Source organism: Homo sapiens, chromosome 10 (assembly GCF_000001405.40).
Source record: "Homo sapiens chromosome 10, GRCh38.p14 Primary Assembly".
In the NCBI taxonomy this organism is placed as follows: Eukaryota; Metazoa; Chordata; class Mammalia; order Primates; family Hominidae; genus Homo; species Homo sapiens.
In genome coordinates, this window is record NC_000010.11 from 16478691 (window position 1) to 16494615 (window position 15925).

General features: G+C 39.2%; 1 protein-coding gene across 11 annotated transcripts in view; it reads left to right on the forward strand.

Annotated features, from left to right (window-relative positions):
• Positions 1 to 15925, forward strand: part of PTER (phosphotriesterase related) — an 82011-nt gene that overhangs the window by 41681 nt on the left and 24405 nt on the right. For 9 of the 11 annotated variants that reach the window (XR_007062017.1, XR_007062018.1, XM_047426006.1 and 6 more), the window contains 2 exons: positions 5647 to 6126; positions 7662 to 7927. Coding sequence is in view for 9 of the 11 variants with exons in the window: in XM_047426006.1 (XP_047281962.1) it covers positions 5647 to 6126; positions 7662 to 7927 (746 nt within the window). In the remaining 2 variants the exon portion in view is untranslated. Of the gene's footprint in view, positions 1 to 4447; positions 5260 to 5646; positions 6127 to 7661; positions 7928 to 15925 lie in introns of those variants that run through there. The other 2 variants (XM_017016927.3, NM_001261838.2) reach the window with 2 other exon arrangements.

Below are 15925 nucleotides of genomic sequence, written 5' to 3' on the forward strand. Positions count from 1 at the left end.
GCCACTGGTACCAGTTACAAGTTTGTAGACCACAGTCTACACAAAGGCCATCTGCTCAACCCTGGTGACTTGAGGTTGACTGGCCCAAGTTAAACTGAAGAGTTAATGAAGCCACAAGCCGATTTTTTTTATTCAAGGAGTCTGATGTGTTTTCTGGGTTTTCAAATGGCTTCAATGGATTTACTTACCAGTTTAAGATGAACACCTCACATCAAGGAATGCAGGATGGCAAAAGCCTGAGCTGACCCAGAGGAGGAGACCTTTCCCAGGCTGACCTGTCTGCAAAGGCCTTTTCCCAGCACTGTCACTTCCTGGGTTCGTCACTGCCATAGTCCTCGTAATTGTTTAGAATTTGCACATTTCCTCAGGTTTTCTTCTTACATTCTTAGTCAATTTGAAAAAAAAAAAGGAAAGCTTGGGAATGAAACCCAACATTTTCCTCCAACGACAAGCTGCTCATTTGTGTCTCTGAGCAGTTTTGCTTTATTTATGTCACAGTTTAAAGAACTTGCTGGGTCCCATTATTGCTCTGTATCCTTAAGTGGTGGGATTTCTTTCTTTTCATTCAGGCATGGTTACTGATTCTTTTGACAGTGTTTAATATTAAAAGTTATAAATGCACATGCAGTAGGGCCATTACACCATAAATAGCTGAGAGAGTAGAAGCATGATGACTGTGTCCAAGGAGGGACTCCTGGTGTCACCGTTGGTCAGTGTCCAGGCCCAGGCTGCTTCAAAGAAGATATATTGCAGGTCTGAACCTGTATGCACAATGGAAGTATTCAAACAAGCTTTAAAAAAAAAAAGGATGCATTTAAAAAATATTTTTGTGACAAATCAAATGTCAGTGTTAAGTGCAGTGTTTCTAGAGTGCAGCCGCGCTCTGTGATGTAACACTTCAAAAAATAGAAGTGCTGATCTATTTGGGCCAGACAGCACTTTTTTCTTAGAAGTCCATTTATTTGGAGGATACTTTTATAGTACCAGCAAGTCCAGTTAGAAAGTTCCATCTGCTCTGCCTCTTACTGCTTCTGGTTTCTTGCCATCTACACTGGTGTCATCTCAGACAAGACACTACCTGATTTTTTCTGGATAATAGCGACATCCTATGGGGCTCCCTGCAGGTACAACGGGCCCCCTCCCTTCATCCATTCGTACACGGCTGCCAGGCTCTTCACTTCATATTGTCTGCAAAAAACCCTGAGATGCCTTCCCGTTTTTTTGTCAGTTAGGGTTTCTTCAGAGCCACCAAACTATTAGGTTGGTGCAAAAATAATTCTGGTTTTTACCATCACTTCATTTTACTCATAGTATTAGGTTGGTGCAAATGTAATCACGGTCATGGCAAAGACCGTGATTACATTTGCACCAACCTAATACTATGAGTAGAATGAAACAAGGGATGTATGATAAGAATTAGACCTTTCATGGTTGGGGGAGGAGTTGGGAAAGTCAACTGAAAACTGATCCACCAAAACTCAGTTTTGTAATTTGACTATAGCATTTTTTTTTTTTTTGAGATAGAGTCTCGCTCTGTTGTCCAGGCTAGAGTGCAGTGGCGCAATCTTGACTCACTGCACCCTCCACCTCCCAGGTTCAAGCAATTCTCCTGCCTCAGCCTCCCGAGTAGCCTCCCGAGTGATGACAGACATGTGCCACCAGGCCCAGCTAATTTTTGTATTTTTTATAGAGACAGGGTTTCATCATGCTGGCCAGGCTGGTCTCGAACTCCTGGCCTTAAGTGATCTGCCTGCCTCAACCTCCCAAAGTGTTGGGATTACAGGTGTGAGCCACTGTGCCTGACCTAATTTGACCATTGCATTTAAAATTGTTAGACGAGTACCTTCAACCAGGTCAAGGGCTGGGTATAACAGAGTCCGGGGTGGGAGAAGAGCCTATGTTTATGAAATAAGGACAGTGTATTTCAGTTAAGAGAAGCTCTCCTCATTCACAGGTAAAATAGAGTCCTGGAAAGTCCTACCCTCTGCAATTCAAAATGCCACTGAAAAATATATTCAATCTACATAGACGGAATCATCTTAAGTATAATGGCCAGGGTGAAATAGCTGTGAGGAACTCTCAGTGAAACTAAACTAAAATTGCCCCCAAACTACCGTCCTGCACACCAAATCTTCAACAATTAGGTGAATTGTCTAAGTATTTTGTAGAAGTTGATTTATGCATATGGTTTTAGAATACACATATTTTAAACATGCGTATTTTAAATAAGACAAATCCTATTTATCGTTTCTGGCTTTCAGCTGTGCTGGAGGACTGTCCTCTGATTCTCTTCTCTTATCCCTTTTATTTTTTGTCTTTAAACCCTCTGTGCTTTTTCAGTTCTAGATGCATCAGAATTAGAAATGTTGTTCCCCTTGGCTAGGCTGTAATAGTAATTGCAGTCTATCCTCAGTCCTCAGATTGTTCAAATTTCACATTTGAAGTGCAACAGAACTTTTGACCCATGTGTTTGTAGCTCTGGCTACCCACTTTCTCACTAGCTTCTGTGCCGGTGTATGTGAGTGATGCTTAAGCCTCTCAGGCATACTCTGGAAAATGCCAGAAGCCTGCTTTGTTTGTTGGTAACCAGTCCTGTTTGCACCATTGGGTATAGCTGCTCTCATCGTTCCTTACCTTCTTCCTTGTTCTGTGAACTCTCTTCTCTATGGGGGAAGGCCATGAATAACCTCTTGCCTGTATGTTGAGAAGAGAGCAACCTCCAAGCTGAATGCAGAGGGAAAAGGGCTCCCTCCCTGCACAGGAAGCGTGTATTCTAGATACACACTCCACCCCACTCAAAGACATTCCAGCTTAGAGCAATGTTGGCTACAGTTTGTTCTTTAATCGTTTCTTATCCTTTGAGTGGAGGTTACATTGTGTGTGATCATAGGAAGTGCCAGCCAGTTCTGCCTGAGAGCATTAGAGGAATCTCCCAGAAGGGATGACATTTCTTAAGTGATTTTTTTTTCAGAAAGACTCACAGCTTGTGAGCTTGAAACGTACCAACATTGCTCTTTCAAATATGCATCAATTGAATATGCAGTTTGGTACTTTTCTAGCAAAAGTGGTAGCATTTTATCAATTTAGCTCAGTTTCTGCCCCTCTGTGACTCTCTGGAACACGTCTGTAAGATGGTCAGCCAGAAGGAAAGAAACGGCAAATTAACCCATATGGAAGCTTGCATCTATTATTAATGGTACTGTGATTTCATCAACGGAAGGCATGAACTACACACTCCTTGCTCTCAGTAGCAAGGAATAAGACACTGAACAGTAAATTCCTATCCATCATCATTGGAAAATATTGCCCTGTATAGTGCCTGGCAGCTGTGTGGTGATTCTCTGAAGAGACACTGCCTGCTTTTCTCTTAGCCACCATTTGAATTGCCTAGCTGATAGAAGTTTGGCTTCCAGAAAGGCACTATCAAACAAAATCAATGGCCATGTTAGCCACAAGTCCTAAGTTCTGTCCAAAAGTCTAAATCCATCATTTATGCCTTATAAGCCAATATATCGCAAACACCTGAGTTCCAGATAATTGCAGTGGCTTGCTATAAATTGGCCTACAATTCTGTCACCCTCTGACCTCTGATGTTGTTTTCACCTTGTCTTACGTGTGTACTATACCCTTCACAAATTTTCCCCTTTGTTCCCCCAAATCATCTCCCCTCTCATCAGCCACTTTCTCTGAAAAGAAATAATCTAGGATATACGTGAATAGTTCCTAGAATTCGCAAAACAAAGCTACTATTTGTTGAATATGGTCTGCGTGCCAAATGCATCTACAGGTATTTTTACCTGTGGTATCTAATTTATTTTTACGACAGTCTATGAAATGTGCTTCGTTATTTTAATTTACAGATGACAAAAATGGAAGTCAAAGAAGGCTTTCAAGGGATATGGGGGAAATGATGACTTCAGAACACTATTTGAAGGAACAGTTTGAGAGCTTGGAAACACGTGATGCTCCTTTTCTTCAGTTCCCAGAGTCTGGGACTCGAGTCCTGATTTTGCTCTTGGCCATGCAGGAGTTTGTCCTCACTATTTTCAGTAGCTCTTGTTCCTTTATAAACCCTTCATTTAGGAAATGTACTTAAAATTTTTTTTTTTGAGACATAATCTCGCTCTGTTTCCCAGGCTGGAGTGCAGTGGCGCGATCTCGGCTCACTGCAACCTCCGCCTCCTGGGTTCAAGCAATTCTTCTGCCTCAGCCTCCCAAGTAGCTAGGATTACAGGCACGCTCCACCACACTTGGCAAATTTTTGTATTTTTAGTAGAGACGGGTTTTCACCATGTTGGCCAGGCTGGTCTCAAACTCCTGGCCTTATGTGATCTTCCCACCTCAGCCTCCCAAAAGTGCTGGGATTATAGGCATGAGCCACTGCACCTGGCCATTTAATTTTTAATTTAAACAAATTTTTTAAAAGGAAATGTACTTTTAAAGGAAAGTACTGGAATTGGAGTTCTTGGTATCACTGATAGACATTGGTGAACACTTAATTTGTGCTACAAATGAAAGCAAATCGAGGATAGAGAGGGCTTTGCTCTTTTTAGAGATAGCCGATTTCAGTTTCAATAAATCACAATCGCTTTCATTATGGCTAAGAATCTTTGCTTTTCAGTATTTTTGAAGTGTGTTTCTGTGTGCCCTAGACAATCAAGCATTCAACCTGAAGAGGTTCGTTTCTTGTTGTTATTTCATTATTCAACCGAGTGTGCTCCTCAGTTGTTTTGGGGAGGGGCATATTCTATGAAGTCGTGTGAGTCAGAGATCTTGTCTTTTGTTTCTTTATGGCTCTAATTTCTGACACATCATGGACCTTCAACAGAAATTTGTTTGCTTGGGTAGTGGAGGAACAGTAGAAAGATCAGTTGTGGCCACGAGTGATGGTTCACACCTGTAATCCAGGCACTTTGGGAGGCCGAGGCAGGCAGATCACCTGAGGTCAGGAGTTCAAGACCAGCCTGGCCAACATAGGGAAACCCCATCTCCTAAAAATGCAAAAATTAGCCAGGCTTGGTGACACATGCGTGTAGTCCCAGCTACTCAGGAGGCTGGGGCAGGAAAATCCCTTGAACCCAGGAGGCGGAGGCGGAAGTTGCAGTGAGCTGAGATCGTACCACTGCACTCTAACCTGGGCAACAGAGCAAGACTCTCCCTCAAAAAGAAAAAAAAGGAGGAAAGATCAGTTGCTTCAGGATATTTAATTTAGCTAAAAAGTGACAAATGAAACAGTACTGATACATGGTTAGTTTGGATGTAAGTTATTGATTCTGAATACTTTTTTTTAATTACAATTACTGTTGATTTATCCAAGAATGCATAGCTATGATTAAGAGATACAATTAAGTTAAAGAAAAGTGAACTGAATATCAAAGAATATTTCCAGTAGATAAGGTTAGGACTAACTCAGGCAGAGGACTCCCAGTAGAAGGGGTGGGAGGCAATTAACACCACGCACGTCACTTAGATCTGCAGTGGGGATAGATTCTGAAGTCGGCAGGATTGTGAGATCGTATCTCTAGTTTTATTGATTTGCCTTCTTACATGGGTATATGTTCACAGCCTCCCACCCCTTACGGACAAGAGTTTATGTGTGTGTTAAATATTCTGATTGTAGTTGTTTGTTTGTTTGTTTGTTTTTAGAAAAAAGAAATCCTCTTTTTAGAACATCTCTTGGTGGTACCATCAGAAATGTCTTCCTTAAGTGGAAAAGTCCAAACCGTTTTGGGCCTTGTAGAGCCAAGCAAACTGGGCCGTACCCTGACCCATGAACACCTGGCCATGACCTTTGACTGCTGTTACTGTCCACCTCCCCCGTGCCAGGAAGCTATTTCCAAAGAACCTATCGTGATGAAAAATTTATATTGGATTCAGAAAAACGCCTATTCCCATAAAGAAAACCTTCAATTAAATCAGGAGACAGAAGCCATAAAGGAAGAACTGTTGTATTTTAAAGCTAATGGTGGAGGGGCTTTGGTGGAAAACACAACCACTGGGATTAGCCGAGACACACAGACGTTGAAGAGGCTTGCAGAAGAGACTGGCGTCCATATCATATCTGGAGCCGGGTTTTATGTGGATGCAACTCACTCCTCAGAGACCAGGGCCATGTCAGTGGAGCAGGTAAAAAGCCTAAGTTCTTTGACAGTATTTGTTCATAAATTCAGAACAGCCAGAACCTTGGAAATGCCCTGGGTTCAGAGGTAGCTGGGCATGCTACGGAAATTTGCTAGCTAGCAAAGACATCTGCCAGTTGGGGCCCCAGTTAGTAACACTGTATTTCATAAAGAAAGTGCCAATTTTGCAAGCAAGCCTTGTGGTAAAGAAAAAAGAAAATAATAATAATAAGTGTCAAGGAAAGAGATCTTAGTGCACTGGTCATTGCAAAATCCAACGTGATAATAGTTAGATTTGTGTGTATCGTATCTGTCCTCAGTATTGGCACCACAGTCTATTTGTAAACCTCACTTTTCCATCTTAAGTTATGCTACCTCGATTTTTTTTCACCCTGGATTTTATAATAACCAGCAATGAAGATTCACTGTAGGGTGAAACTTGGCAGTCAAAGACTTGGCACATTTGTGAATATGTTTCAGTTTCCTTTCACAAAACAGGAGAGGTGGAAGAAAATTCATTCCCCTGTGTTTTGTCATAATATGGTCTTAAGAATGGGCAGAAGGAAGTAAATTGTTTAGGGACAAAAAGAATAAGGTGCAAAACCTTTTTTGCACGTGTATGTGTTCTCTTTCTAAACACACATGTATCTATTTATACATGTTTACACATATATGTATATATTCGTATGTATCTTCCATTGCCTGCATGACAGGCATAGGGTGTCAGCTCATTCTTTGCAAAAGATCACTTACTCTCTGGAGTATTTTGTATTTCAAAATTTTTTCTGCATTATTTTCCAACCAGGACTTTATTTTTTTAATGTATTTTTGTTGTTTAAAGACTATGCTGATGATGAGGATTATATATTCTTCCAACCACTTTTAGTGGTAACTATACATATGAACCCAAAAGTCTAATAGTAGTATAGTGTGCTGTGAATTTTCTATGCTGTCTATGATAAAAGACTGGAATAAATAGGAGAGAATTAAAGCATTTCTTGATGCCTTGTGCGGTGATGCAAGCGTGTAGTCCTAGCTACATGGGAGCCTGAAATGGGAGGTTCACTTGATCTCAGGAGTTCCAAGTCCAGCCTGAGTAACATGGTGAGACCTCTGCTTCTTTAAAAAAAACAAAGAAGAAAGAAAAAGAATGACTTGATACACGGGACATAGATTCAATTCATTGGCGGTCTTTCTATATTCTAGATGCTGCTCCCCAGGTTAAGTTACAGATTTTTTTTTGCTTCATCCTGAATGTACTCTCATTAAGTCACTTTGTCCCCCTCCAGCTTCCTAAAGCTATAAATTTCTTGTTAAATAATCATGGTATGATATTATCGAATCTTGGATTTAGTGCAACTTGTTGATTTTTGATTTGGCCAGCAAAATGCCTTTTTCCTTGGCCAATATTAATTGATAAATACTGAATACATTTTTAAAAGAATGAATGACAAAATAAATAAATTCATTCACATACTGTGGTGGATCTATTTTGATAAATTTCACAACCTATAAAATATATTCCTTCTCACTCTTCCTTAGCTTACCGATGTCCTTATGAATGAAATTCTCCATGGAGCTGATGGAACCAGTATCAAGTGTGGCATTATTGGAGAAATTGGTTGCTCCTGGCCTTTGACTGAGAGTGAAAGAAAGGTTCTCCAGGCCACAGCTCATGCCCAGGCTCAGCTTGGTTGTCCTGTTATTATCCATCCTGGACGGAGCTCCAGGGCACCATTTCAGATTATCCGAATATTGCAAGAAGCAGGCGCAGACATCTCCAAAACAGTCATGTCACACCTGGATAGGTAAGTAGGCTGTCTTACAAATGGATGCAAACTGCCATATAATTAATGCATGATCAAATTAAGAATCTACAGTAATCAGTCAATGCAATACTAATCACGCAGAGAAAACCACTAACTATATGGAAGGTAGTATTTATAAAGTTTCACAACTGACATGAATAAAAGTCAATGCTGCCATTTTTGTGTCCCTCCTCTGTGTCAGATAGTGTCCTAGGTATTTCACATAAGATATTTCGCATAAGTCATTTCCTTTAATTTACTCAATCCTTTATAACTCATAACAGGTGTCACTGTCTACTTCATTTCTTTGTCTCATGGGATGCTATCAAAGTAGCTGCCAATTCCACTTGCTCAATGTTTACCAGTAGTTGGAGTAATAAAGTTATCACACATATAAAGGGAGGGAATGTCAATGGTTTCACCCAGAGAAGAAAACCGCAAATATAAATGTTCACATTTGTGTCACTTGTGGTTTGAATCATCTGAATTTTGGAAAATGCAATTATAAAAAATAATAGTAATAAGTATAGCATGTGTTGGGTAGTATCATGCATTAGTTTCCTATTGCTACTGTAACAAGTTATCACAAACTGGGTGCCCCTAAACAACAGAAATTTAGTCTCTCAAAGTTCTGGAGGCCAGAAGTCTGAAATGAAACTTTGTCAGGGCCCCGCTTCCTCCAAAGGCTGCAGGGAGAATCTTTCCTTGCTTCTTCCATAGCCTCAGATCCAGCTGTTCCATGGTTTGTGGCTGCATAACTACAGTTTTTGCCTCTGTCTTCGCATAGCCTTTTCCTCACTGTCTATGTCTTCTCCTCTGTTTGTTACAACCACAGTTGCCATTGGATTTATGGCCCGTCCAGATAATCCAGAATAATCTCATCTCAGATCATTTACTTAATTATATCTGCAGACCTTTTCCCCAAATAATGTCACTTTCAGAGGTTCCAAGAGTTAGAATATGGACCTATCTTGTTGGGGTTCACCATTTAATCCCTACATATTATTTTAGATGCATAGGGGACAGTAAAATGAATGACTAAATGAAGAAATGCCAGCTGCTGTTAATTTTATGAACAAGTCTAACTGTTGCTAAGGCTACTCATTAGCCTTCAGTTGAATTTATTATAGAATTAATACAGCACCAGTGAGACTAATAATATATTATAGTTACTTCTATCTTGCCTATTGGAGTAAAGCCATATTAACATATTGATAAATCCTGATTATCAGACCAGACAGATTGCTATTTCATAAACTAACAGTCCTGCAAAATGTATTGATAAAATGCCTCTCCTTATGAGGCTGCAGTGAACCATGACCACTACACTCCAGCCTAGGCAACAGAGCAAGACCCTGTCTCAAGAAAAAAAAAATTCTTTTACTTAATAAAAAATACTGTGAAATCATGTGCAGGAAATATAAACAAGTTGTAGTTATAGCAGAACAGAGAAGTCAGTATTAATGGGGAAACTGAGGCATAATAGGATAAAGGTAATTCTCCTGGCAACCAGGTTGGTATCAAGATCCATACTTGGCTATCTTGAGGAATCTTCTGGTTGCACTGATAAAGTAGAGGCATGCTTCTATATACTGGTCACAGAGACAATGCATCAGACTGTGAAAACTAGACTCTTTGGACCCAGTGAGAACTTTGAATTCTAACTCTCATTGGTGTAACATCTTGGACAGCTTAATTTGAATTTAAAACAATGTATTTTATAATGTTGCCTTGTATGATATGGGATATATGTAGCACATTTACTGAGTAAGGATGATACTTTTTAAACATTGTGAAGTACCTCATACCTTCAAAAATGTATTACACTAATACTTTTAAATTTTATAAAATGTTTTAGATTCTTAAAAGCGTTGCATTCTGCAGTTATTATACAGTGTAATTGTTCTATATGTCTATTAGAACATAATCATTTATCATGTTCAAGTATTCTGCATTTCTACTAATTTAAATATATATATATATATGGAGAGAGAGAGAGAGAGAGAGAGAGTCTGTCTCTCTGTTGCCCAGGCTGGAGTGCAGTGGCATGATTTTGGCTCACTGCAGCCTCACCCTCCCAAGTTCAAGTGATCCTCCAACCTCAGCCTCCCAAGAAGCTGGGACTACAGGCATGTGCCTCCACACCTGGCTAATTTTTATATTTTTTGTAGAGATAGGTTCTTGCCCTGTTGCCGAGGCTGGTCTCAAACTCCTGAGCTCAAGCAAGTCACTCGTCTTGGCCTCTCAAAGTTCTGGGACTATAGGCATATGCCATTGTACCTGGTCATAAATTTCTTTTAATTGCGTGCTTGGCATTCCTTGGGATTCCTGAATGTAAGGATGTACCTTTCATTGTTTCTGAAAAGCCTCAGCCATTATCTCTTTAAATACTGTTTCACTCACATGTTATTTATCATCTGTATCACAAACTCCAATTTGATATATGTAGGGCTTTCTTACCTATACTCTGTATTTCTTAACACCTCTTTCATATTTCCATCCACGTGCATCACTGAGCTATAATTTCTTCAGTTTGATCTTCCTATTTACTACTTCTCTTTCCAACGGAATCAATCTGTCACTTAGCCAATATATTTGGTTTATAATGTTGAGAACTACATGGTTTTTCTGTTACCTATTAAGTTCTAGTTGGTTACTTTTCAAATCTGCTTGGTTAATTTTGATCATTTATGTTCCTTTCAACATGGTTTCGATTCAACCTTTAAAAAAATATTAAACATACAATGTATAACTTGTAATTGATAAATCTAACTTCTACTGCCTTTGTTTTACTCTGATATAGTTTACTAGTTCTTCTGGCTGTCATTGATAGGAGGTTATTTCCTTATGTTTTAGAGTACAATTTTTTGTTGTAACATCAGACATCTTGGAAATTATTATGAGTATTAGGTTGGTTTCCTCTTACCCCTGGTTTTTTTTTTTTGGTTATTTATTTTTTATTTCTGGTAGGCAGTTGTGGCACTACTTACGTGGGACACTTTATACTAAATTTTTTAATTGTGGTAAAATGTGCATAACATAAAATTTATCATCTTTTAAACATTTTGAAATGTACAGTTCAGTAATGTTGAGTGTATTCACTCCCCATGGCCTGTGACAAACGCCATTCTACTTTCTGTCTCTATGAATTTGACTACTCTAGGTACCTCATGTAGATGGAATCACATAAAGCTTTTTGTGACTGTTTAAACTAAATTTTAGACTTGAGAGACTTAGACCCACACAGGTGCTATGAGTTCTGACCCCTCAGCTTAGCAAGTGCAGGAATGGGGCTATGGATTCTCAAGGGAGACTTTTTCTCAACTTACCTTCCTTTCACTAGAAGACAAGACTGAGAAAGATACATACAGATACCCCTTGACTTAAGATGGGTTATGTTCCAATAAACCCATTGTAAGTCAAAAATATTGTAAGCTGAAAGTGCATTTAATATACCTAACCCACTGAACACTACAGCTTAACGTAGTCTACCTTAAACATGCTCAGAACCCTTACATTAGCCTATACTTCCGCAGAATCATCTATCACAAAGCCTATTTTATAATAAGGTGTTGAACAGCTCATATAATGTATTGAATACTGTACCGAAAGTGGAAAACGGAATGTTTCTCTTGGTACTTGAAGTACGGTTTCTAGTGAATGTGTATTGCATTCACGCCATTGTAAAGTCCAAAAAGCATTAAGGTGAACTAGCCAGGGACCATCTGTAATCTCCAAAAACTGTATATGGGGCAAGTTTTTACCTACTTCATCCTCAAGGGTGTTGCCTTCCATATAAAGGGAGTAGCCCTTTATATGTCTCCAGTCTGATCTCCTACTCAGTTCAAGCCCAAGCTCTGTCTTACTTGGTTCATTAATACCTTTTAGGCAAATGCTAGCTCTAGGTCTCAACTTATTCCTCATTTTCTCAGCTCTCTTGTTGTCTCTGTCCCGCGAGCAAGTAAGTGTTACTTTCCCACCAGCTAAACCAAGCATTTCAAAATAGGGTGTTTTTTTTCTCTCTCTTCAATATAATGTAGTATTTTACATGCATTCTGCTGGAAAGGTTTTCTGTGAACATCTAGTCTGCCATACTGCTTGAAACTGGCTCAAGATGATTCGTAAAGAAGAAGCTTTCTATCTCCATCTATTTACAGTTAGACATGTATGTAAGTTAGAAAATTATGCTTGGCACAAATAGAAAACAAGCTTTCACTGGAAAATGTGAAATAAACCCTTACTTCTACCACAGTAGTATTTCCCTGCTCATAAAATCAAACAATATATAAATTGCAAATGTTTTCTTTATTGCCTAGTGATATACATATATGTATACACTACACCTATATATACACATATGTATATATTTATGTATATACACACACATATGTATTTTTTTTCTGTTAAACAATAAAGATACATTACCAGATTTCCATTTGGCTGCAGTTTCAATATATCTCTCTAGAATGGGTCAGAACAGAATGGAAAGGTTGACCTGACATCAGACAAACTCAGAACATTCTAGAAAATTCTGAGACCATCGCTAGAGCAGCCATCCATTCTGTACCTATCTGATGGATTATTCACGGTTCCAGTGCATGAAAAAGACATACATGAAAGTATGAGCATTTCAGAAGGGAGGCAGCTAGGGAACATGGCTTTAGAAAAAGCAGTGCATTCGGAAAAACATACCGAATAAAGTAACAGAAAAAAATAATCAGGGAGGCAGATGCAGGCATTGTTAGCTCTTTGAAGTGGCTGTTCACAGCAAGACAGTGGCCATGCTGAAGTTTGACTGGGTCAGCCTCTCACAGACTCTCTGAGGTCTGCAGGGCTGTGCATACGATCTGAGCCGTACTGAAAGGCCAAGGACTTCAGCTTTCTGTAACGGGGACAAATCACAAAGGGCATGTATTTCATGCAACGAAATGCACAGAAGCCTCACGAAACAGACCTGCATCCCCAAAACAAGGCCTCCAAAAAATAAAAACCAAGACAAAATGGCAAATCATTTCATTTCCCCCATCATGCCTTTTCAGACATTAAAAACCAAAAAAAAAGATCTGAGGCTACCTTGTGATTGGAAGATAATCAGGCCGTCGCTGTGCTTCATAGCCCCCTCCAGAATGCTGGGACTCTCCAATGGGACTGACCCTCAGTCTTACCTACCCATGATCAGTTTATTTTTCCCCTTTAAAGTAGTATTTCCATCATTTCAGTATACAAAAATAAAATATTACAGTGTGCCCCCAATCACATTGAAGCAGGTAAATATTTTTGAAGATATACAATCTTCATTAGGATTCATGCATTTGTATGGGTGCACACACACACACACATACACTCATTGTGACAACAACAACAACAAATTGCTACATGGCTATCCAAAAGGGGCATTTGGGACCCTGAGAGGGAAGAGTTAATGAATGGCCATCACCTTAGGAGACCTCTTAACTACATTGTTGTCATGTGACCGTTGGTGACCTGCTTAAGGTCATTTACTAGGAGATAACAGCTTGACAAGATAAATCTGCTTCTGTGTCTAGGCCGTCCCCTAACCATCTGCTCCCTTTAAGAAACATGGGCCTGTTGGTTGCTGTGAATTTAACCCTAGGGAACATTGCAGGGGGCTGCCCTTGATAGTTACAGCCACCCAAAGTCAACATTTATTGGAAAAGAGCACCTGGCACTTAAGTGTTCCTGTTTGGTCTTAATCTATGAAGGCTTTCTGCCTTTCAATCACTTACTATAATTTTACTACCTGTTAAAACTCTACCCACGTGTCCAGGTGACGTGTAATGATAGCACTGCCTTGGCCTCCGGTCTAATACAGGCTAGATGCGATTAAAAAAAACAACACCCCACATATATCCTTTTTGCCATTCATCTTCAAGGAGATTTTATCCTTAATGGACTATTAGAGTAGCTGTAGGTATTTTTATGACGACAAAATTCTTTACCAATGAAAGCTGAGTAAAACAGCATGGCTGGCAGGTATTTGGGTAGCAACTATTTACTGATTAATTTTTGAGCCCCCTGGAGGGGAAACAGACAGGTGCTGTGTGCCTGAATCTTTTTTCTACTTGGTTATCTATTCAACAAGCCAAAGGGCTTTGATAGAAATCCAGGGCCTAGAGTTTGATTAAGGGCACAATGATAATTAAGTGAAGGAAAATAGCGCATCACTGTCTTTGAAAATTCCTAGCTGAGGAAGGTAGAGGAATTGACCTAAGGGTTTCTGAAAGACAACAAGAGGGAAACATTTAGGGAACTGGCCGACAGCACATTTTATTCCCTTTGCCTCTGATCATTCGTGCCAAATTGGCCAAACTCTTGGAAAGCTATAATTTTGATATGTTTTTCATGCTCTTAATTAGATGAAATAAGAGAGTGGGATATCACATCATTCATTCATTCCACAAATACTTGCATGTCTAATTACCATATACCAGACGTTGGGCTGTAGCCTGAAGAACAACCCACTCTCTGCCTTCAAAGTCATTATTTAATTATAATTATGGTGATTTTTAACCTTAAGGTTTTCTGTGAAAAACCACAAAAAATAATTATTTGGTTTCCTTGGAACTTACACACATTTAATCCCTCTGAATATTCGTGAATTAACGGGAAGTCATTCAAAAACAATTCCAAGCAAATGTTTGACAAACTGAAACTGAGCAAAACATCGTGATATCGTTAAGTAGTACAGGGGTGTTTGAGAATAATTGGAATGCTATGTGCATGTATTTGTTTGTAACATCTAGAATCCTATGAATATGACACTGAGTTTCTTTTATTCTTAAAAACAATTTTTTTTTTAAATTTTTAAGAGTAAAAGAGACAGGGACTTGCTATGTTTCCCAAGTTAATTTTGAACTCCTTCCTCAAGTGATCCTCCTGCCTTGGCCTCCCAAAATGCTGGGGTTACCGGCTTGAGCCACTGAGCCGGCCAGAAAAATTATTTTTAACCCTAAAGTGTTATGCAAAATTTCCCCACCCCTGCCCTAGTTATTGTTTACTGTGTATTTTCTCTCAACATGCAGAACGTATGGAAGGAAGAAAGGGAAAGGGAGAGGGAGGGAGGCAGAAAGGATGGAAGGAAGGGGAGGGAGGGAGAAGAGAAAGAAAGAAGGAAAAAAGGAAACAGAAAGAAATCCAGGCAAATATCTGACAAAGTAAAATGCACCAAAATTCTGTATATTCATAAATAGTGCCAAATAAAATGCAATAAAGTTATGGTGATAATTAATAATTAATTGTGGAGTATTCCAGATTATACTATTTTGGGCAGACCTGCCTTCCTGGTGAAAGGGAAACGCTGGCCATGTGCTCTATCCAGTACATTCTACCCACCAAAGCCTTCCACGAGTAATTTTTTTTCTAAAGCAATTTTTCATAACTCTGACACCATTCCCATGAAATGTGACATTTTAACAAATAGGATTGCCAGGTCTGTGAGATTTATCTTCACTCTCCTCAATACCGTCATTCCCTGAACCGTGTATCGCCTTACATGAAAAACGCAACCTCTTTTGTGCTATGTGGTAGCTGAAGAGTTCGTATGGTAAAAAGCTCTTCCTGGGATGTATAAACTGTGAAATGCATTCTAAAATAAAGTTTTAATTACACTTTGTAATTCGGAGCCAACTTCTGGGTTTAGTCTAATTTAAACAAGGGTTTTTCTCTCTTGCAGCCATCTGTTCCTTTTGCTTAAGCCTACACTTAAGTCATAATATTGAAAGGGTGACGTCACTCCTTCCTTATGATGTCATTAAACATTTCTTTAGCGACCCAAGCAGTCAGAGAACTGAATAAGTGATGGGGGGAGATGCTTGTTAAAATATGGATAATAGCATACTGAATTATTTTATTTTTCATTCCCAGTTATTCTCCAATATCAAAAATATTGTTCAATGAAAGTCATGCCTCCGTGCAAAAAGAATCCCATAAAAAATAAATCTTTGAAATACCTACGTATTTGGTCATAAACTAGTACAT